General features: G+C 38.7%; 2 protein-coding genes across 4 annotated transcripts in view, besides 1 other annotated feature; one reads left to right on the top strand and one right to left on the bottom strand.

The window, feature by feature from the left end:
- The window catches only part of CLDN16 (claudin 16), a 121,778-nt gene that overhangs the window by 86,788 nt on the left and 15,280 nt on the right, over positions 1 to 19,710 (bottom strand). Inside the window, exon 2 of one of the 3 annotated variants that reach the window (NM_001378492.1) lies at positions 10,292 to 10,458. The exons of 1 other annotated variant lie outside the window; for it this stretch is intronic. The gene's annotated coding sequence lies outside the window, so the exon portion shown is untranslated. Of the gene's footprint in view, positions 1 to 2,689; positions 2,794 to 10,291; positions 10,459 to 19,710 lie in introns of those variants that run through there. One more of the 3 variants, XM_047447333.1, reaches the window with a different exon arrangement.
- Positions 2,755 to 2,914: a silencer, noted in NCBI's record as "silent region_15001". NCBI's record gives its function as "represses an Ori minimal core promoter by ATAC-STARR-seq in GM12878 lymphoblastoid cells {active_cell/tissue: GM12878}" and the evidence as "EXISTENCE:reporter gene assay evidence [ECO:0000049][PMID:35858748]".
- Positions 2,905 to 19,644, top strand: CLDN1 (claudin 1). Its single transcript, NM_021101.5, has 4 exons — positions 2,905 to 3,367; positions 12,315 to 12,479; positions 15,098 to 15,182; positions 16,912 to 19,644. Exons 1-4 carry the CDS (start codon positions 3,145 to 3,147, stop codon positions 17,072 to 17,074), a joined length of 636 nt encoding a protein of 211 aa, NP_066924.1. The 5' UTR covers positions 2,905 to 3,144; the 3' UTR covers positions 17,075 to 19,644.

Genomic DNA, 19,710 nt, shown 5'->3' with positions numbered 1-19,710 from the left:
GCTCTTCCAAAGAAGAAAAAAAAAATTGTCCTCGATTGATTTGGGTCACACAGAGAAATACTGCAGGAGAGCAGTCAAAGGCATGGACACGAGCGTCAAATTATATAGTTTGGAATTCCAGCGCTGCCATATTCAATATGAACTTGGATAAGCAGCCTGACCTCTCTGTGTCTGTTACCTGCACGTAGAGATAGCATATAAAACTCTGACCTCAACACTTGATGAAAATATACAGCAACAAGTGCCAGCTGTCATTACTTAGAGTCATAAAGCTTTAGACTTGGGTGACTTTCAGAAATTAACCCCATCCCTTTTATTGGTAGGGAAACTGAGGAAGAAAAGAAGTAATTTGTCTGAGGGTACATAGCAGATTTTACTACTCAACAGGCTAGGACACTTACCATACCATTGCCAGCCTTTCTAGAGCCTTCTTGGTCTCAGTGCTGCCTTTACTGTTTATGTTTCAGATATGAAAGGCCAGTATTTGGAAGCTGTTTTTCCTCTTAAGTTGATAGATTTATGCTGAGCCATTATCTCACCTGTCCTCTGCACTTAAGCTAGGAGCAGAAAACTAGACAGGATTAAGGATGCCTAGAGATGGGCCTGAATCACAGTGAAGCAAACAGCATTCACCTCAGCCTCACAAACATGGTTGTGGGTAGTGAAGTAATCAGCCTCGCACAGACCTGAAATACAAAACAAAAACACGGGACCCTGCTGACCACAGAACTCATCCCTCCGATTCCCCGCTAATTGTAGGTTGATAGAAACCAGTTGTAATGCAGAGTAAAAGGGCCTGTGCACAAATATATTTACTGAACGCAGAAAATGTCATTTATTTGTTTATTTATTTATTTATTTATTTGTTGAGATGGGGTCTTGGTCTGTTGCCCAGGCTGGAGTGCAGTGGCACGATCTGGGCTCACTGCCACCTCCGCCTCCCGGGTTCAAGCAATTCTCCTACCTCAGCCTCCCAAGTAGCTGGAATTACAGGCGCCCACCACCATGCCCGGCTAATTTTCATATTGTTAGTAGAGACGGGGTTTCACCATGTTGGCCAGGCTGATCTCGAACTCCTGATCTCAAGTGATCCGCCTGCCTCAGCCTCCCAAAGTGTTGGGATTACAGGCGTGAGCCACTGCGCCTGGCCTGAGCCACCGTGCCCGGGTGTTTAATAATACTTTTAATTCTTAAATGTTTGGAACAAAAAAAAGAAGAAAATGAGATTATATGATTCACATGGTACTGCTCTAGTCCTGCAGCAAATTCCAGTGCCTTCTCTGATCAGGGAATTTTTACAAAATCAAATGTGATTGATACATCTTCATCCACACTGACAGGCACCCACAGAACATCCACTGAGACCTAGACAGTAGTACTGACTGCAGGCCCTAACCCTGGGATACAACACGAACATGGTCTTGTCCTAAACAGCTGATAGGAGAAAGACAGTATTCACTGTGTTAATCTCAGTCCAAATTAATTGTCTTCATCTAGCTCCTGTCTTACATTCTTCATTGCTTGTCCCTAAATCCTAGCACGGCCAAGTCCTTTAGTTTTAAGCCTACATGAAAGGCATCCAGGGAGAGCCAGGTGGAAATGAAGGTGGTGGGGCTTGGCCTTTCTTCCCATTCCCACCTTGAGAATTTGCACCTTTCCTTCTCTGTCACCAACTAGCAGTTGCCATGGTATATAAGGGTATATCTTATTTTATCCTTAATATGTTTATTTCTGCTTCCAAGATGCTTCTGTTTTTACTAAAACCATAGAAGCTTCCCCTCCCACCACACTCGCACCACACACAAAAAGCAGTTGGAAAAACATTTCAATGATTCCTAACCACAACAGCACTTCTGACTAACTACAAAGAAGGAAGCTTTGGAGAAACATAGAGGGAAACTACAGTCCCAGCGAGACCGAAACCGGAGGGGTGAGATAGCCAGTCACAGTAAAAGCTGGAACCAGAGCCCAGACTTCCTCAACTCCAGCCCAGTCCTTTTGCCACTGGGGAAACGCTGTTTACATGTCCTCACCTGCGACGAACAACATTTGATAACTCACAAAATTAACACCTTTCAGGGAGAGCGGGGCACTGGCCAGGTCCCTCTGATAATGAATTGCTGCTCTAAGACATAACTGCTGTGGGGAGGAGGTTGGTGTTTGGCGGGGAAGGGCTGCTAGCCTGCAGTTTCATAAGGACAATAATACATCAAAAAGGACAATCATAGATCAAAGGGGATATTTTGGGTCAACTTGATATGTAGTGGAAAGCAGATTGGGAGGGGAGCCAAGTACTGGATATGCTCCGTGCGTGAGTGTGTCTGTGTGTGTGTGTGTGTGTGTGTGTAAATCATGTTGCTCTCTGGGTCTGTTTCCCAATCTGTAGAGTGTAAAAGTCTCTGAGGCTCCTTGCAGAGACAAGTGATGGAACGACCTTGACAGAAGAGAGCAGAGAGAGGAAAGAAGGGGGAGGAAGCCAAGCAAAGGAGAGAGAAATGGTGTGATGGGGGAGGAGACGCGGAGTTGGGTAGAAATGCCTTTTAATAAGATATTGGGAAAAAAGTATTAAACCTAAAACTGCAGCTCTTGAAGGATCATTTTTTCATCTTTGTGTTAGGATTTACAAGTACAGTGCATAGTAATTTTTGGATAATTGGAGTGAATGAATGAAAAGCGTGAAACGCCTTACAGGAGCGAGAAGATCCACGAGAGAAAGCGAGCAGGGACGCAGCTCTGGTGCCTGGTCCTGCCGGGTGGTCCCCACGCCGCCAGCCGCGCGTTCCCCAACCGGGCGCTCCCGGCGCCCTCTCGGTGAGCCGCCCTGAAACCGCCAGGGGGCGCTCCCCGGCTGCCGGGGCTGAGGCGGGCGGAGCTGCTTTAAATCGCGGCGCCCAGCGGTTCTGCGTCTCAGTTCCCGAGCCTGGGAGCAACCGCAGCTTCTAGTATCCAGACTCCAGCGCCGCCCCGGGCGCGGACCCCAACCCCGACCCAGAGCTTCTCCAGCGGCGGCGCAGCGAGCAGGGCTCCCCGCCTTAACTTCCTCCGCGGGGCCCAGCCACCTTCGGGAGTCCGGGTTGCCCACCTGCAAACTCTCCGCCTTCTGCACCTGCCACCCCTGAGCCAGCGCGGGCGCCCGAGCGAGTCATGGCCAACGCGGGGCTGCAGCTGTTGGGCTTCATTCTCGCCTTCCTGGGATGGATCGGCGCCATCGTCAGCACTGCCCTGCCCCAGTGGAGGATTTACTCCTATGCCGGCGACAACATCGTGACCGCCCAGGCCATGTACGAGGGGCTGTGGATGTCCTGCGTGTCGCAGAGCACCGGGCAGATCCAGTGCAAAGTCTTTGACTCCTTGCTGAATCTGAGCAGTGAGTGCACCCCCACCTCACAGCGGCCGTCCAGAGGCCCCAGTCCCCCTGCAGCTCCCTTATGGGCTCATTCTGTTGTGTGATTCCATGGTTATCAGTCTTCAGTTGATCAAGTCTTCTGATCATGTGCTCTGTCATAAGGAAATGAAGAGAATCCTGGTTTGAGGAAAGCGACGCCCAGGCATAAGCTCTAGTTTTGCCTCTAACTCCCTGGGTGACACTTCTGCCACTCTAGGTGTGGCTTCATCCTAAATTCCTATGCTGGTGGTTCGAGTTGAGGGAGTGAAGGCCAAACTTGAACTTGAGCTCTTAGACCTCTCCTAGGCATTCCGAGATTTGGGGTAAATTGAGGATTGGTAGAGTTCAGACAAGAAAATGGGATGACTGAAAAAGTTTGAAGCCTGGTAACTTCTCAAGTGTGCACGCTTAAATAAATAATCCTCAAGTATTAGATATAACTTTTTAACCTTTAATATGATTTTTTCATAGTAAAAGTTACATTCCTACTGGAAATGTCCTATCTAAGTGTCTTCTGCTTATGCTTGAGGTTGATTCTTTTAATTTATAAGATCCAGTTAGTGCAGGGAGGCCCCTTGCAAGACTCTTTGGAGAAGCTGCTTGAGATTCCCCCGAAGTTTTAATTTTCAGACCCAAGGTCTTCTGTAGAGGCTGACGGTGTAGTGCTATCTTGGAAAGAGAAGGTTGGTGGCAGGTGGGGAAAGGCTGACAAGAAAGGTTCTAAATAACCTGCGCAACATAATACAAAGAAAAAAGTAAAGGCACTGAAGGGAAATGCAGCAAAATAGTCATAGCTGATGAAATCAGAGGTCAGCTGGGAGTGGAAGGCAGTGAGAGAGAAAGAAGAGGTGGGTCTTCCTTAGGTTTCCATCTTCCACAAAGAAATTTCTGTGTAATGGATGTTCAGTGACCCCCTGTAAAACTGGAAAGGATTGTATAGAGAGACATATTTCTAAGGATGGTGGGAAGAAGGATAATAGGATAATTGTTTTACTTTGTTTTTTAAATTAAAGGTTTCGAGTTCCTTGTCCGAAAAGTCATTAAATTCCCATTTACTTAGATAATAATGATTCACGGCTGGAGTATCTTCCTTGAGAAATCACATTAATTGTCTTATATCATGTGTCTGTTATGCCCTTTAACTCACTTGAAGAAAAGATCCCTTAGTCTTTGCCTAGATGAACGTGACTGCCCACTGGCCCCCATTGCATGCTAAGGGTGAAAAGTGTTGGCATTGTTCAAGTTTACTTAACTTGTTTTGTCTACCTCCTATCAAGGGACAACTTTTAATAGTGTATATCAAAAGCCATATAGTTTAGAGTTATTAAACCTGTTCCAAATCTGTTTGAACACCTTGAATACCTGTGGCATTTGCTCAGTCAATGTGCATGGTTGTTTTGAGTGTTATTATTTCAGCTTTTGAAGGTTCTCATATCAGGACTTCTTTACACCAAAACCAATCCATAAGTTTAGTAATTATGTGTTGCTCATTGCCCTCAGGGGTTATATTTGTACTTATAAAATGAAAAATTTGGTAATAATTATTGAATTTCTCCATGGAAAGATAAATATATTTAAGGAAACGGTGTCAGGCATTTTAGGTACCACGTTAAGGAATTGGCAGGTGGAGGTTTCTAAGGACAATTCCAGAGAGGTCTCACTGTCAGTTTTATTCCTCTGATCAAAATAGTTCCTTTTCAACATCTTTAAATAGGTTTTCTTTTAACTTCCTGAAATGACCAAATGAAATCAGATTGATCTATGTTGTAAATACTCAAATGGATCATCCTTACACATGATAATGTGTTAAAATGTTTTACTTTCATTTTTTGGTTAATGTAGTTATTACAGTTTTTAAAACTAGGGTGAAAGGACTAAATACCTACCCCCCCACACACACTTTAGAGATGTCTTCCTATTTTTTTAAAACTCCAGATCAGAATCCACTTTTATTTTACTTAAAGCCATAGTTTATCCAAGGTGTGGCTTAGGCCTTTCTCTCAAAACCCATTCTCAGAAGAGGGACCCTTGACTCACAGGTGTTCTCCTCTCACCTGCCGTGACTCACGGGATGCTTTTGGATAGAACCCAGGAAACCTTACTTCATTTCTCTGCCTGAGCAGTGGTGTTTACGCCCACCAGCTGTAGAGATCTGGGATGGTGATTCATTGGCTGGTTTTGGTACAGTTTTGTTACATGTAGAGATGAAAAGGGTTATGTGTGTATATTTAAGCAGTATCACTCAGAAAAAAGCTGCATTTCATTAAGTGTGTTTAGGTGAAAAGCTTAGCTGTGGGTTTCCCGAAATTGTACCTTGCCGTCTTTCCCAGTAGAGCACACTTGTCTTCCCGGCCAGATGCAGGGCTTTAGCACGGGAAGTATTAAAATCTGTTGTTTCCCTGCTTTATGTAGGGTAGGTCATAAAAAGCATATGACCTTCATAAAGTATCTGAAGGAATACAGTGTGCTAATAGTGTATACAGTAAATACAAAATGAGATAGAGCAAGGCTTCTTCTTTTAGGTAGTTCTTGCCAAGCGGTTTATGAAAATGTAACTGAGGCACTTCCTGGGGAAACAAATGTCACATTGTGTATTGTAGTTTTATAATGGCTGATACAATTTCCATTTCATCCAAAGTATGTGATTTTATTGACCCTGGGGATTCTTGTAGCTGAAAGTTGGAATATACAAAAAGTGCCAGATACAGTTGTAGTAGACTTTTCTTGATTCACCTGTACCTCTCGCCTTGTTTTCATCTAATTCTCAAACTTTTAGGAAGCTCGCGCCAATTTTATGTGCTTGCTTAAATGCTTCTTCTTACTTGACTTTAATAGCTAGAGCTGTCCAAAGATTGAGTTGCTGTAGGAGGCTGCATGGTGGGAGGTGTGCAAGCAGAGAATAAATAAGCATTTTGAAGGAATGTTGTAGGGAAGATCCAAGCACCAGACAAATGGGAGGTTAGGCTAGACTCTCTCTCAATCTCACCGAACCCTGAGATTCTGTAATTTGTTTATAAGCTCCTCTAGCCTGTTTAACTTGCTTTGCATGAATCCACATGTGTGTAGGTGTGCTTAATGAGTATTGGTGGCTGTGAGCTTCCCCAGCACTCTCACCATGATGTCAGGCTCAATCAGAGAGACAAAATCACTGACGTGGACAGTCTTTGAAGCCTAAGTGGAGAGGAGGGCACCTATTTATGCTTCTCCAGATGCGTTGTGCCTGCTGAACCGAGGGTACTCGAAGGGCCATTGGTGTTCAGATATACTTCATAAATTAGTTCTGACTCTTAGAATAATGGAAGTTGAAGCAAAAATCCAGGCTTGAGATCAGAAATTCTCTGTTCTTACTGTGGTTTGGCACTAAGTAGCCAAGTGTATAATGGTGAGCCACTTGATCTCCCTGGTTTCAAGTAGTTACCCCACTTATAAAATAGGGCAGAGTGGGAGGAATGGGGAGATGAATCTATGATTCGTTTATCCATTCAACAGATGCAAGCTAGGCCCTATTCTTGCTGCTAAGGATGGTGCAGCTAAGATGAGTTCTAAGATTCCTTCCAGTGCCAGAATTCTTTGTTATTACTTCAGTGATTGAAGGGGAAGAGGCAAGTCACATAGCTTAGGTTTCCTTAATTGGAGTGATTAAGGAAATATAATGGAGGTAATATAGAAGCATCAACTTAATTCTGAGAAAATTTCTTGAAGAAACACACAAACAAGAAAGGTAGCAAAACTTCTGAGGACATCCTGAAAAGTGGTACATCCTGCCTCATCCAGGATCATTTTCACTCCTGATTTTGCTTATGTTCTGAGTTCACATCTGGTGACCATCACCTCATGCACCAATAAGAGGGAAATGCTAATGATTAGGACTTTTATGAAACTTTGAACTTCCGTAAAAGTAAAAGATTTAATATGGAGAAAAGCCAGGGGAGTACACTTCTGTGACTGTCTGTGTTGAGCTCATTTAATTGCAGGGGAGAAGGAAGCACAATATTTTTGTTCTAGTCACCCAATCATCAGTTCATTTATTCACTTAATACTTATTAAGCAACTACAGATGCAAAGGGAGAATTGGAATCTGCAGTCAACATTTGAACAACACAGGTTTGAACAGCAAGTGTCCACTTATAGGTGGATTTCTTTCAACCAATACCGATCAAGAATACAGTATCTGAGAGTCCAAAGCCTGCATGTAGGGAGGGTTGACTTTCTGTATACAAGGCTTCCACAGGATCAACTGTAGGACTTGAGCATGTGCAGATTTAGTTACCTGTGGGTGGTCCTGGAACCAATCACCCTTATATACCAAGAGATGACTATATTTTGTTTATGATATATAGAACCTAAGGTAATATGGCTAGAAAATAGCATAAACAATGTCTGGTATTGATAGTAGATTCTACTACTTGTGTAGCAAGACTTTCAAGCTTTAGAAAAATTACATATATGTCTGTCTTTCTACACATTTGTTGATTAACCTAAGTGTAGTAGATCAGTAACTTCCAACTCACTTCTTGTCTTATAAGTAGAGATCTTTGTAAGTATTTACTTTTAATTCTACTTTCAGGTGGAAAATGATGAGAACTCCTTAGGGGGTCTTTAATCTCAAGATTGTCAGTCTAGCTAAATATAATTAAAAGACTGCCTTCTGTGTTTACTGCTGAATAATGATGAGAAAAAATAGTGTAATTTTTTTAATGTTTGCTAACCAGGTTCTCCATAGACAACTTTAGTCAGTGGTCATAATATTGTAGATTTAGCTGCAAATTTAAGAGGTGAGAAAAGGAATATGTTTGTTCCTAGGTTTGTTCTAATCAGACCAATTCAAAGTTAATATTGCAAGGCTATACAACATCTATCTCATCCAAATTGTTGTTTTATAGCTTTCAAACATCCTTTTTAACTTCTCTGCTCTGCCACTCATCATTCCATTAGGGCAAAAAGAAACAAAACTTAAGCTTTGAAGCTCATTAGATACATACTTTAAAAAATAGATCAAAATAAGCAAAAAGTACAATTTGTATTATCTGCATGAGTTTCTAGTTATCAGTGACCTAAGCTAAGTCTGGCTTTTAGTAGCAAGATTTTAGCATACCAGGCTCTCAAGGGAGGTATTTCTCAGTATTATTTCAAAAATTAAGCTAAACACAAGAGAATAAGTATTTTTACCTATCATATTGGTACAGATTTTTAAAGGATAAAGACATGTTCTAATTTAAATTTATTGAAATTTGATAAATCCATGTGACTTTTCAAGTACTGTGCTTGGTGCTTTAGATGGAAATAGGAATAAATATCTGACTCAAATCATCCAGGAGTTCATGATTACATACTTTACAAATCTGATTTAAAACACTTCTATGATGTGAAGGTATTCATCTGTTTCCGGCTTAAAACTGTGCAATTTAGATTTGATCTGCACATAAAACACTTGTAACTTGTAACACAATAGTTGCTTACTTTGACTGGTAACCTATCATTACCTACGCCTTGCTTGTGAGTTTTCGTGCTGTTTTAATTCTCAGCTTTTTGTGCGTGACTACATGTGTATATTATTTTTGCATTTTCCTCACATATAACTATACTTAAGAATTTATCCAAATATCTCCAATGAAGCAAAGCAAGATTTTGGGTTTGATGCAAATCTAATATTGGAACATACAAATAAATTGTATAAGTCAATAGTTGCCAGGATGTAAGTGAAAATATTACTTTGCAAAACGACATTTTAAAAAACAAAGCAGGATCTCATTTCTATGGTTTATGCAATTTTTAAATATTGTGTTTTCCATTTTCTCCATTACTTTTTGTGTATTATGCAAATAATATATTATTCTATAGAGAAATGAAACCTGATAGGTTTCTTAGCAATCATAGAACAGAATATCAGTCCCCAGCCCCTTGGAAAGAACACTTTGTAGATGAAGTGGCAAGATAGATTTGACACGAATCAAATGTGTTTTCTTTGAGAACTTAATGGGCAAAAACTTAGAGATTAAAAATGTGAATATTAGGTCATTCCAGGTGGGTGCAGTAAGGGCCCTGGAGTAGTTTATGCACATGTGTTCCTTGCCTGGGAGATCAGGGGTTTTACACAGTCCGACTCATGAGATTGATGCCCAGTTAGACTTCTCTTGAAGACTACTCTGCGATCTAAGTGCTCAGACCTGCTGGGCAAGTGACCTTCTGTTTTTACTTGAAGAAAAGATCAGTGTGATTATTCTATAAACTGGTCCAGTTTGGGGCCCCACAACTTGAACAAAGAGAAAAACTTGGAGCAAGATCAGAGAAAACATCTAAAATGATTAATAAAAGGTTGAAAAAGAGTATTTATGAAAAAATAAAATGGAGGAGGCTGTGAAATGTAAGATGCTATAGATGCTTGAAGTGCTGTCATAGAAATATTTATTGATTGTGTGATCTCTATGCTGACAGTAAAAATCATGTCGCCCCTTTCTCAAGATAATCATATGACTTCTGATTATACTTAGAATAGAATCCATCTTCTTACCCTAATTTGCGAAGTTCTGCATGACATATGCCTTCTGCCCACCTTGCTAAACTTCGTTTTACTTTGCACATCCTATCATCCTGCGTTAGGATGACCAGCTCTCCCAATTTGTTCAGGATTGAGAGCCTTCTAAGGATGTAGGACTTTAAACTTTAAAGCTAGGACTGTTCCAGGCAAACTGAGATATGTGGTTTCCCTATCCTCCAGACATGGATCATCTTTGTTACTTTCAGCATCTCCTCTTCAGGCATATCTCTGCCTGAAATATTTTCCTGCCAAGTGTAATCTTAGGACCACATCTGAAATCTGTGTTATGTATGGGTTTAGTTATTTTATTTGTTATTTCCCAATAATGATAGCCTTTGCAAAAACCATCCATCAGAAAGAGGACATACCTTAACCATGGAGCCCTTGGTACTTTCCTCTTCATACCACAGTATGGCTTGTGATTCCAAGGAAAAAGTTGTGTAATAACCTTACAAGCAGCTTCAGTTCCTTCCTGGTAAACCTGTGGTCCGTGGAACATGTGTTTTGATCCAGCAGTTCCTCTGCCACCTGGAATCTTGAGATAAGTGTGTGGGTCAGTGTGCATGTGTGCCCATACATGCTTATGAGGAGGTCAGTGTGTGAGGGGAATCAGGAAGTCTCTTTTTTATTTTTAAATGAAATCAAGTAAAACTTAACCTTGGCTTCAAAAATATCTCTCAAATACTGTAAACAATACCTTTGATACTTTTTAGAAAGAGATTATGGCCAGGCGTAGTGGCTCACGTCTGTAATCCCAGAACTTTGGGAGGCCGAGGTGGGCAGACCACCTGAACTCAGGAATTTGAGACCATCCTGGGCAACATGGTGAAACCCATCTCTACTAAATACCAAAAAAAAAAAAAAATTTAGCCAGGCATGGTGGTTCGTGCCTGCAGTCCCAGCTACTCAGGAGGCTGTGGGATGAGAATCGCTTGAGCCCCAGAGGCAGAGGTTGCAGTGAGCCCATATCGCACCACTGCACTCCAGCCTGGGCAACAGAGCAAGACTCTATCTCAAAAAAAGAAAAATAAAGAGATTACTATAATTTTATCATAGATTGCCTGGTTATAGCAAAGACAGAAAATCAGTAAATCAAGATTTAATGAAGTTTTAGAAATATTTAGCTTCAATTATGATTGGTGACCTAAGTTCTCAATCTTGACAATATTAACACTAAGCCTAGGCCTGATTAGATATTGAGATACAAAACCTTTCCAACATCTCAGCCACTTTTAAAGACCATCAAGGAGTCAATTGTTCCAATCCACTGGATAAAGATATAATTTACATTTTACTTATATAATTGAAATATTATTCCAAACAATACTAAGTTTCTTGCTCAAGATAGCACAGTTTGTTAAAGCTAAAAAATACTTATATATGCAAAAAACACTTGTCACATATTATCACTGTCAATGATATAGTGATCTTTAATTAAAGGAGGACATAAATCTAGAATTTAAACAAAATCTTCTAACCAGCATAGTTTCAGTTCATATTTAAAAATCTGTGCCTTTATGCCACAATGATGGCATCAAGTTTTTACTCTTTAAGAAACATAGTGATAATGTCTCAAACTTGACCCTGTTTATTTGATCATGAGTTAGTACACCAAAAATAATGATGGGAAATTAGAAAAAATGGAATCCTGAGAAACACTACATTGAATTATTGTGTGTGCTATTTTACAACATGGCAGCTTAAATAGTTTTAAAAAACTAGTGATGTCTTTGAATATGAATCTACTACTATGTCCCAAGGTAACATCTCAAAGGTTATTTTGTTTAGTTTTAAGAAAATGACTTCTATATTCTTCCCCACTCCTCCTATTCACATCACTGGAGATACAAATACTGCTTATCCAGCCATGATAATCTATAAAACATTTATTTTTTATCTTCCAATTCATCCAGTTTTTCTGAAGCTTATTGATTGGGGTGTAAAGCTGGTGACTAATATCAAAGATATACTGTAAACCATTTTGATTACAAATAGTTAACATCCAGGATAGTATATATGATTGTTACTTAAAATTAAAATTATCTTAGCAAGGATGAAAATCCCTTAGTAAAAAATAAATATGTATTAGTTCAGCTAACCCTATTCAATTAGATCATTAATTAATTTTCCAGTTGATTTTGAATTTAATGTTGGAAACATAAAATATTGGAGTGGAGGGATCTCTTTTTCATCATCCAGCCTGGCATTTGTTTTTCTGGAGAAGATACTGTATATTGGGTTACCAGCGGAAACATCAGTATGACTGGGGTCTCTAGATTCCTAGTCCAGTTTTCTCTCTTCCATACAACAGTGACATATACTTGGTCTTCTTCCATTTTTCTCTTGTTGGTCCAAGCATATTTTTACATGTTTTAAAATGTTTTCTGCCAGGCACATTGCAAGCAACCCGTGCCTTGATGGTGGTTGGCATCCTCCTGGGAGTGATAGCAATCTTTGTGGCCACCGTTGGCATGAAGTGTATGAAGTGCTTGGAAGACGATGAGGTGCAGAAGATGAGGATGGCTGTCATTGGGGGTGCGATATTTCTTCTTGCAGGTAATAGAGGCTGTGCCCCCCTTTCACCTTACTAACCTGTTCCTGGTATGATTTGAAATCTATTACGTTGGATTCATTATACTTGATTTCAGTCTCTAAGGCAAACTGCAAACATAGACCTGAAGTCCAGTTGACTTTCATGTTCTCAAACACAAACTAAATGAAAATGTGAGAGCTCTGCTCACATCTGACAGGTCTATTGGTTGAAGTTTCAAGTGGCAACTGGTTTGTTAGAACCAGTCTCTTCCAGTGAAGAAAGTTGTTCACTATTTAGCAAACGCTAAGGAGGAAGTTCATGTAATTCAGATAATTCCTATGGTGTCTCCACAGATACTATGTGGAAAAGATGGGGAGTAGTGAGAGAAAACACAAGAATATGTGAACCCTTCAGGTCTGTGAGGGATGGAAGGATTGGGATTATTGGAGAAAAATAAGGATAGCATTCCAGCTGGGCAGATCTAATTCGAGAATAAACAGGATGTGCCTGTAGATCAATGAAAAGAAAGGCCAACTGGAGTAGAGGTGGCCTGTTGGAATGGTCAGTTTAAAGCAGTTAGGAAAAAAAAAATACAGAAATACCTTTAAATTTTTTTGATAAAATAATATTATATTTTCCATTTAAAATAAATACGTGTTTTTTAGGCCAGGTGTGGTGGTTCACGCCTGTAATCCCAGCACTTTTGGAGGCTGAGGAGGGCGGATCACCTGAGGTCGTGAGTTCAAGACCAGCCTGGCCAACATGGTGAAACCCCATCTCTACTGAAAACACAAAAATTAGCTGGGTGTGGTGGTGCACGCCTGTAATCCCATATACTCCAGAGGCTGAGGCATGAGAATCACCTCAACTCGGGAGCCGAGATCGCACCACTGCACTCCAGCCTAAGCAACAGAAGACTGTCTAAAAAAAAAAGAAAAAAGAAAAGAAAAGAAATATCTGTTTTTTAATTCAAGTGTTGATTGATAAGTTACATTATGTGTCATTTGAGAAAATCAAAGTCAGAAAACATGGACAGCATTATTTCAAAGCTTTATAATAATGCCTATTTAAAAAATTATAGTGTATGTATACTTACGTGTGTATATGTACATACATATGCAATCTCTCTGTGTGTATATATATATCTTTATATCTATACACTGTGTTATATATGTTGATAATCTCCATATAAATTATACAGCTATAATAATAGACTACTATATGTTCTCTATATTAGGTATTAGATGCATATATTATATATGTAGTATATTATAGTATATTATTTTAAAAAAATAACAGATATAATTAATGATACAAATCTACTAATAGAAAAAAACTAGAATAGACTTTATTTTCTTATTTTCTTTTTGACAGAAGACTTGTAGGGGCTTTTGCTTCAGTATAATATGTCAGTTTAACCAGTAATTGAGGAAGAGTATCTGTGGCTTTGCTAAAGATGTGGTTAGTTTAAAATGACCAGTCTCTCAGTTTACCCAAATACAAATTGACTCCTCTCTGAAAAGGCATGGATAGTGTCTTATTCCCAATAATTTACTCTTATATCAAAGGCTGCGAATAGTAATCTTTGTGGCCATCGTGGCATGAAGTGTATGAAGTGCTTGGAAGACGATGAGGATGAAATGCATTGCATTCTTCCTTCGCTTGCCTTCTTGTAACTCCCACATGTGACTGCATCACTCCTATTCCAGTTTCAGGGACTTCTCTTAGGAGTAAGCATCACAAGTTCAAGACCATTCGCATGGTCTATTTGAGAAGCCAAAAGCAATAGTGTTTTCTGTCATGTCTAGAGGCAATTACATTGGACCATGTTTTTGGCTGGGGAGAGACAGTAGCATAGAAACATCTAATCTATCTATATTGATGAATACTTAGAATTACTACAAAAAAGTTATTTAACTTTTTTGATAAAAAAATGAAGTATTTTATACATCTTATAAATGATTAAGTGAATGATTTTGACTAAATGATTTCTCTGCTATCATTGAATATAAAATGCCATGGGAAATTGAGATTGGGTTGCATAAATTGATCTGATGTGGCACCCTCAACAAATCTCAGGCCAACCTATACCTATATCAGGTATTCCCTTGGCCAATGGGGCAGTAGTAATGCAGGTATTCTGGTCCATTCTGAGACATGTCCTGATCTCACTCTATCTAGCTGCTTGCATTCCTTTTGACTCTGCAGAAATGTAAATTTTGAGTTTGATCAAGAACATAGAAGAGTTTTCATCTTCCCCTTTTGCAAGTAATTCTACCTGTACTAATAATGACAATAGTTTTATCAAATGTAGTTTAGTATCCTAATGTATAACAGCATATTTAAAAGAGATTTTGTACAACATACACCTGCCTAATTGTTTCCAAAAAAGAATTATTTGTGCCAAGATATCATAAAAAAGTATAAATTTTGTCTAATGCCAACCTAGTATTTTTTTATATTTTAATAGATACTTGGAATAAATCATATCTGGACTTCTAATCTCCCTAATACCAAAATAAAAATGTCAACACTATTGATGAGATTTAATTCTTGCAAAATATGTTTTGGTTTAACAGGTTGTGTATTTAGGCTCAGTGTTCCATGGTGATTAACAGTCTTTTGTTTTGAATTTCTATAGGTCTGGCTATTTTAGTTGCCACAGCATGGTATGGCAATAGAATCGTTCAAGAATTCTATGACCCTATGACCCCAGTCAATGCCAGGTAACGCTATTCAGGCGTAAAATAGTTTGTTTTCTGAGAAAATGCCCTTTTTATATTCTACAAAGTCCTGCTAGTGCCATCATTTCCCAGATTTGCTTTCAAGAATTTTATGTCAAACCTACAAACAATTTAAATGATCTCTGACTTATGTCAAAATGAGTTTGATAATTGCTTTAACACCCTGTATTGATGACAAAATACCTTCCAAAGTAGAAAAGTTTCAAGCTCTGTGCTTTTCAACTGTATAACTGGGCTTTCTTTTGTTTGTTTTTTCAAATATTAATAAAGATGTTAATATATTTGAAATTTCCTTTTTGAAGTGTATTCTGATGTTTACAACACCTACCTAAGATTATTTGTAACTAATGCACAGTTTATGATTGATTGAGAAAAATTATACTACTATAGGGGTTAATGAATAATACTTCATTCCCAACAGTTCATTTTTACACGTAAAGCTATTATGTATGTTTTTAGTATGTTCAGATACCACCTTGAAATTTTTTGTTCTTTCACAACTGTAAAATTGGCTTTACAAAGGTCATCTTTCTTAATACTGCAGGTTGTGCAAGTTGAGCTGATTCTTAGCTCTCGTGTAACAACATTCTTTAATCAGAGACGAGGCTCTTCATCTCACTGTCTTCACATCTTTAATGCCTAATAACTACATTCAGTCAGGATGTTAAAATATAATTATTGTTTGTTGAGTGCTTAGATGAATGGATGAAAAACCTCAGTGTTTGGAGAGATAAGATGTGTTTCTTTTTATATAATCACCCACATATGGGAGAACACATACTGCAATGGTTGTGTTGGAGCCCATCCCATAAGATTTACAGTGTAAGAATAGAAACTGCTAGAGGTCAGTAGGCTAAAATTTCGCCAAGGTAATAACACCAGTAATGCACAGGAAAGCACTTTATAAATTGCCAGCCATTTTGCAATTGTTATTTACATTATTGCATGTGATCCTAAAAGCAGTCTATTGAGGCAGGTGGGATTATCCTGCTTTGAGAGTAGGAGAAACTGAGGCTGAGAGGTGAAGTTGCTATCCCAGAATTGCAGCAGTTGAGAGTCTGCATCAGGATTTAGACTTGGCCTTATAACTTATAGAACCAACCCTTCTCTACTCTTCCGTATTGTCCATAATCACTCACAGATACCCCACCCTAAGTGTCTGCTTTAATACATCTGCCTGGATCAGCTTAATCCAGAATGGTTCATGGGCTGCTTAGAACTTTTCTTTACAAAACCATAAGATTTGGATTTCAGATTGTATAGGTGCCTGGGACCAATGGATCATCTGTTCAAAGCTCTGATTATCTCCATTATGCTCTATCAGTTTCTTTATAGAATATGATTACTACTTAGTGATAAAGCTTCCTTTGCTAAGTTTCAGCCTAGGAACCATGATCCAAACCCTACTTCTAAAACATATAAACATGCTTTACAAGTATCCTATATATGGAAAAGTCCTTGGAATTATTTGTGTAATTAACCTGGTATTACATGTGTTATTTCCTGATCTACTATTGCAAATTGTCACCAATTGCAATATAAACATTCTTTGGCGTGTATGTTCAGAAATCTTAAAGTACTTCCCAAGGGATATTCAGGGGTTATTTTCAATGAAAAAAATACAATGAGTATTGATTTTTTTTCCTTTTATTATATTAGAAAAGTTGCCAATAATTCACTGATTAACAAGCACATGGGTTTTTCCTTTTAGGTACGAATTTGGTCAGGCTCTCTTCACTGGCTGGGCTGCTGCTTCTCTCTGCCTTCTGGGAGGTGCCCTACTTTGCTGTTCCTGTCCCCGAAAAACAACCTCTTACCCAACACCAAGGCCCTATCCAAAACCTGCACCTTCCAGCGGGAAAGACTACGTGTGACACAGAGGCAAAAGGAGAAAATCATGTTGAAACAAACCGAAAATGGACATTGAGATACTATCATTAACATTAGGACCTTAGAATTTTGGGTATTGTAATCTGAAGTATGGTATTACAAAACAAACAAACAAACAAAAAACCCATGTGTTAAAATACTCAGTGCTAAACATGGCTTAATCTTATTTTATCTTCTTTCCTCAATATAGGAGGGAAGATTTTTCCATTTGTATTACTGCTTCCCATTGAGTAATCATACTCAACTGGGGGAAGGGGTGCTCCTTAAATATATATAGATATGTATATATACATGTTTTTCTATTAAAAATAGACAGTAAAATACTATTCTCATTATGTTGATACTAGCATACTTAAAATATCTCTAAAATAGGTAAATGTATTTAATTCCATATTGATGAAGATGTTTATTGGTATATTTTCTTTTTCGTCTATATATACATATGTAACAGTCAAATATCATTTACTCTTCTTCATTAGCTTTGGGTGCCTTTGCCACAAGACCTAGCCTAATTTACCAAGGATGAATTCTTTCAATTCTTCATGCGTGCCCTTTTCATATACTTATTTTATTTTTTACCATAATCTTATAGCACTTGCATCGTTATTAAGCCCTTATTTGTTTTGTGTTTCATTGGTCTCTATCTCCTGAATCTAACACATTTCATAGCCTACATTTTAGTTTCTAAAGCCAAGAAGAATTTATTACAAATCAGAACTTTGGAGGCAAATCTTTCTGCATGACCAAAGTGATAAATTCCTGTTGACCTTCCCACACAATCCCTGTACTCTGACCCATAGCACTCTTGTTTGCTTTGAAAATATTTGTCCAATTGAGTAGCTGCATGCTGTTCCCCCAGGTGTTGTAACACAACTTTATTGATTGAATTTTTAAGCTACTTATTCATAGTTTTATATCCCCCTAAACTACCTTTTTGTTCCCCATTCCTTAATTGTATTGTTTTCCCAAGTGTAATTATCATGCGTTTTATATCTTCCTAATAAGGTGTGGTCTGTTTGTCTGAACAAAGTGCTAGACTTTCTGGAGTGATAATCTGGTGACAAATATTCTCTCTGTAGCTGTAAGCAAGTCACTTAATCTTTCTACCTCTTTTTTCTATCTGCCAAATTGAGATAATGATACTTAACCAGTTAGAAGAGGTAGTGTGAATATTAATTAGTTTATATTACTCTCATTCTTTGAACATGAACTATGCCTATGTAGTGTCTTTATTTGCTCAGCTGGCTGAGACACTGAAGAAGTCACTGAACAAAACCTACACACGTACCTTCATGTGATTCACTGCCTTCCTCTCTCTACCAGTCTATTTCCACTGAACAAAACCTACACACATACCTTCATGTGGTTCAGTGCCTTCCTCTCTCTACCAGTCTATTTCCACTGAACAAAACCTACGCACATACCTTCATGTGGCTCAGTGCCTTCCTCTCTCTACCAGTCTATTTCCATTCTTTCAGCTGTGTCTGACATGTTTGTGCTCTGTTCCATTTTAACAACTGCTCTTACTTTTCCAGTCTGTACAGAATGCTATTTCACTTGAGCAAGATGATGTAATGGAAAGGGTGTTGGCATTGGTGTCTGGAGACCTGGATTTGAGTCTTGGTGCTATCAATCACCGTCTGTGTTTGAGCAAGGCATTTGGCTGCTGTAAGCTTATTGCTTCATCTGTAAGCGGTGGTTTGTAATTCCTGATCTTCCCACCTCACAGTGATGTTGTGGGGATCCAGTGAGATAGAATACATGTAAGTGTGGTTTTGTAATTTAAAAAGTGCTATACTAAGGGAAAGAATTGAGGAATTAACTGCATACGTTTTGGTGTTGCTTTTCAAATGTTTGAAAACAAAAAAAATGTTAAGAAATGGGTTTCTTGCCTTAACCAGTCTCTCAAGTGATGAGACAGTGAAGTAAAATTGAGTGCACTAAACAAATAAGATTCTGAGGAAGTCTTATCTTCTGCAGTGAGTATGGCCCGATGCTTTCTGTGGCTAAACAGATGTAATGGGAAGAAATAAAAGCCTACGTGTTGGTAAATCCAACAGCAAGGGAGATTTTTGAATCATAATAACTCATAAGGTGCTATCTGTTCAGTGATGCCCTCAGAGCTCTTGCTGTTAGCTGGCAGCTGACGCTGCTAGGATAGTTAGTTTGGAAATGGTACTTCATAATAAACTACACAAGGAAAGTCAGCCACTGTGTCTTATGAGGAATTGGACCTAATAAATTTTAGTGTGCCTTCCAAACCTGAGAATATATGCTTTTGGAAGTTAAAATTTAAATGGCTTTTGCCACATACATAGATCTTCATGATGTGTGAGTGTAATTCCATGTGGATATCAGTTACCAAACATTACAAAAAAATTTTATGGCCCAAAATGACCAACGAAATTGTTACAATAGAATTTATCCAATTTTGATCTTTTTATATTCTTCTACCACACCTGGAAACAGACCAATAGACATTTTGGGGTTTTATAATAGGAATTTGTATAAAGCATTACTCTTTTTCAATAAATTGTTTTTTAATTTAAAAAAAGGATTATTGGCTTGTTTTCTAATCATTTATTGCAAGATTGCCATTCTTGGTAGAGGAGGTGGCTTG

The sequence above is a fragment of the Homo sapiens genome, chromosome 3 (genome assembly GCF_000001405.40).
Source record: "Homo sapiens chromosome 3, GRCh38.p14 Primary Assembly".
In the NCBI taxonomy this organism is placed as follows: Eukaryota; Metazoa; Chordata; class Mammalia; order Primates; family Hominidae; genus Homo; species Homo sapiens.
Note: the sequence above shows the minus strand (reverse complement) of the source record. Positions and strands in the feature narration are given on the sequence as shown.

Coding starts and splice junctions, on each gene's coding strand:
- CLDN1 (NM_021101.5), top strand. CDS start 3,145: ATGGCCAACGCGGGGCTGCAGCTGTTGGGCTTCATTCTCGCCTTCCTG. Junction 3,368..12,314: donor CTCCTTGCTGAATCTGAGCA/GTGAGTGCACCC, acceptor GTTTTCTGCCAG/GCACATTGCAAGCAACCCGT. Junction 15,183..16,911: donor ATGACCCCAGTCAATGCCAG/GTAACGCTATTC, acceptor TTTTCCTTTTAG/GTACGAATTTGGTCAGGCTC.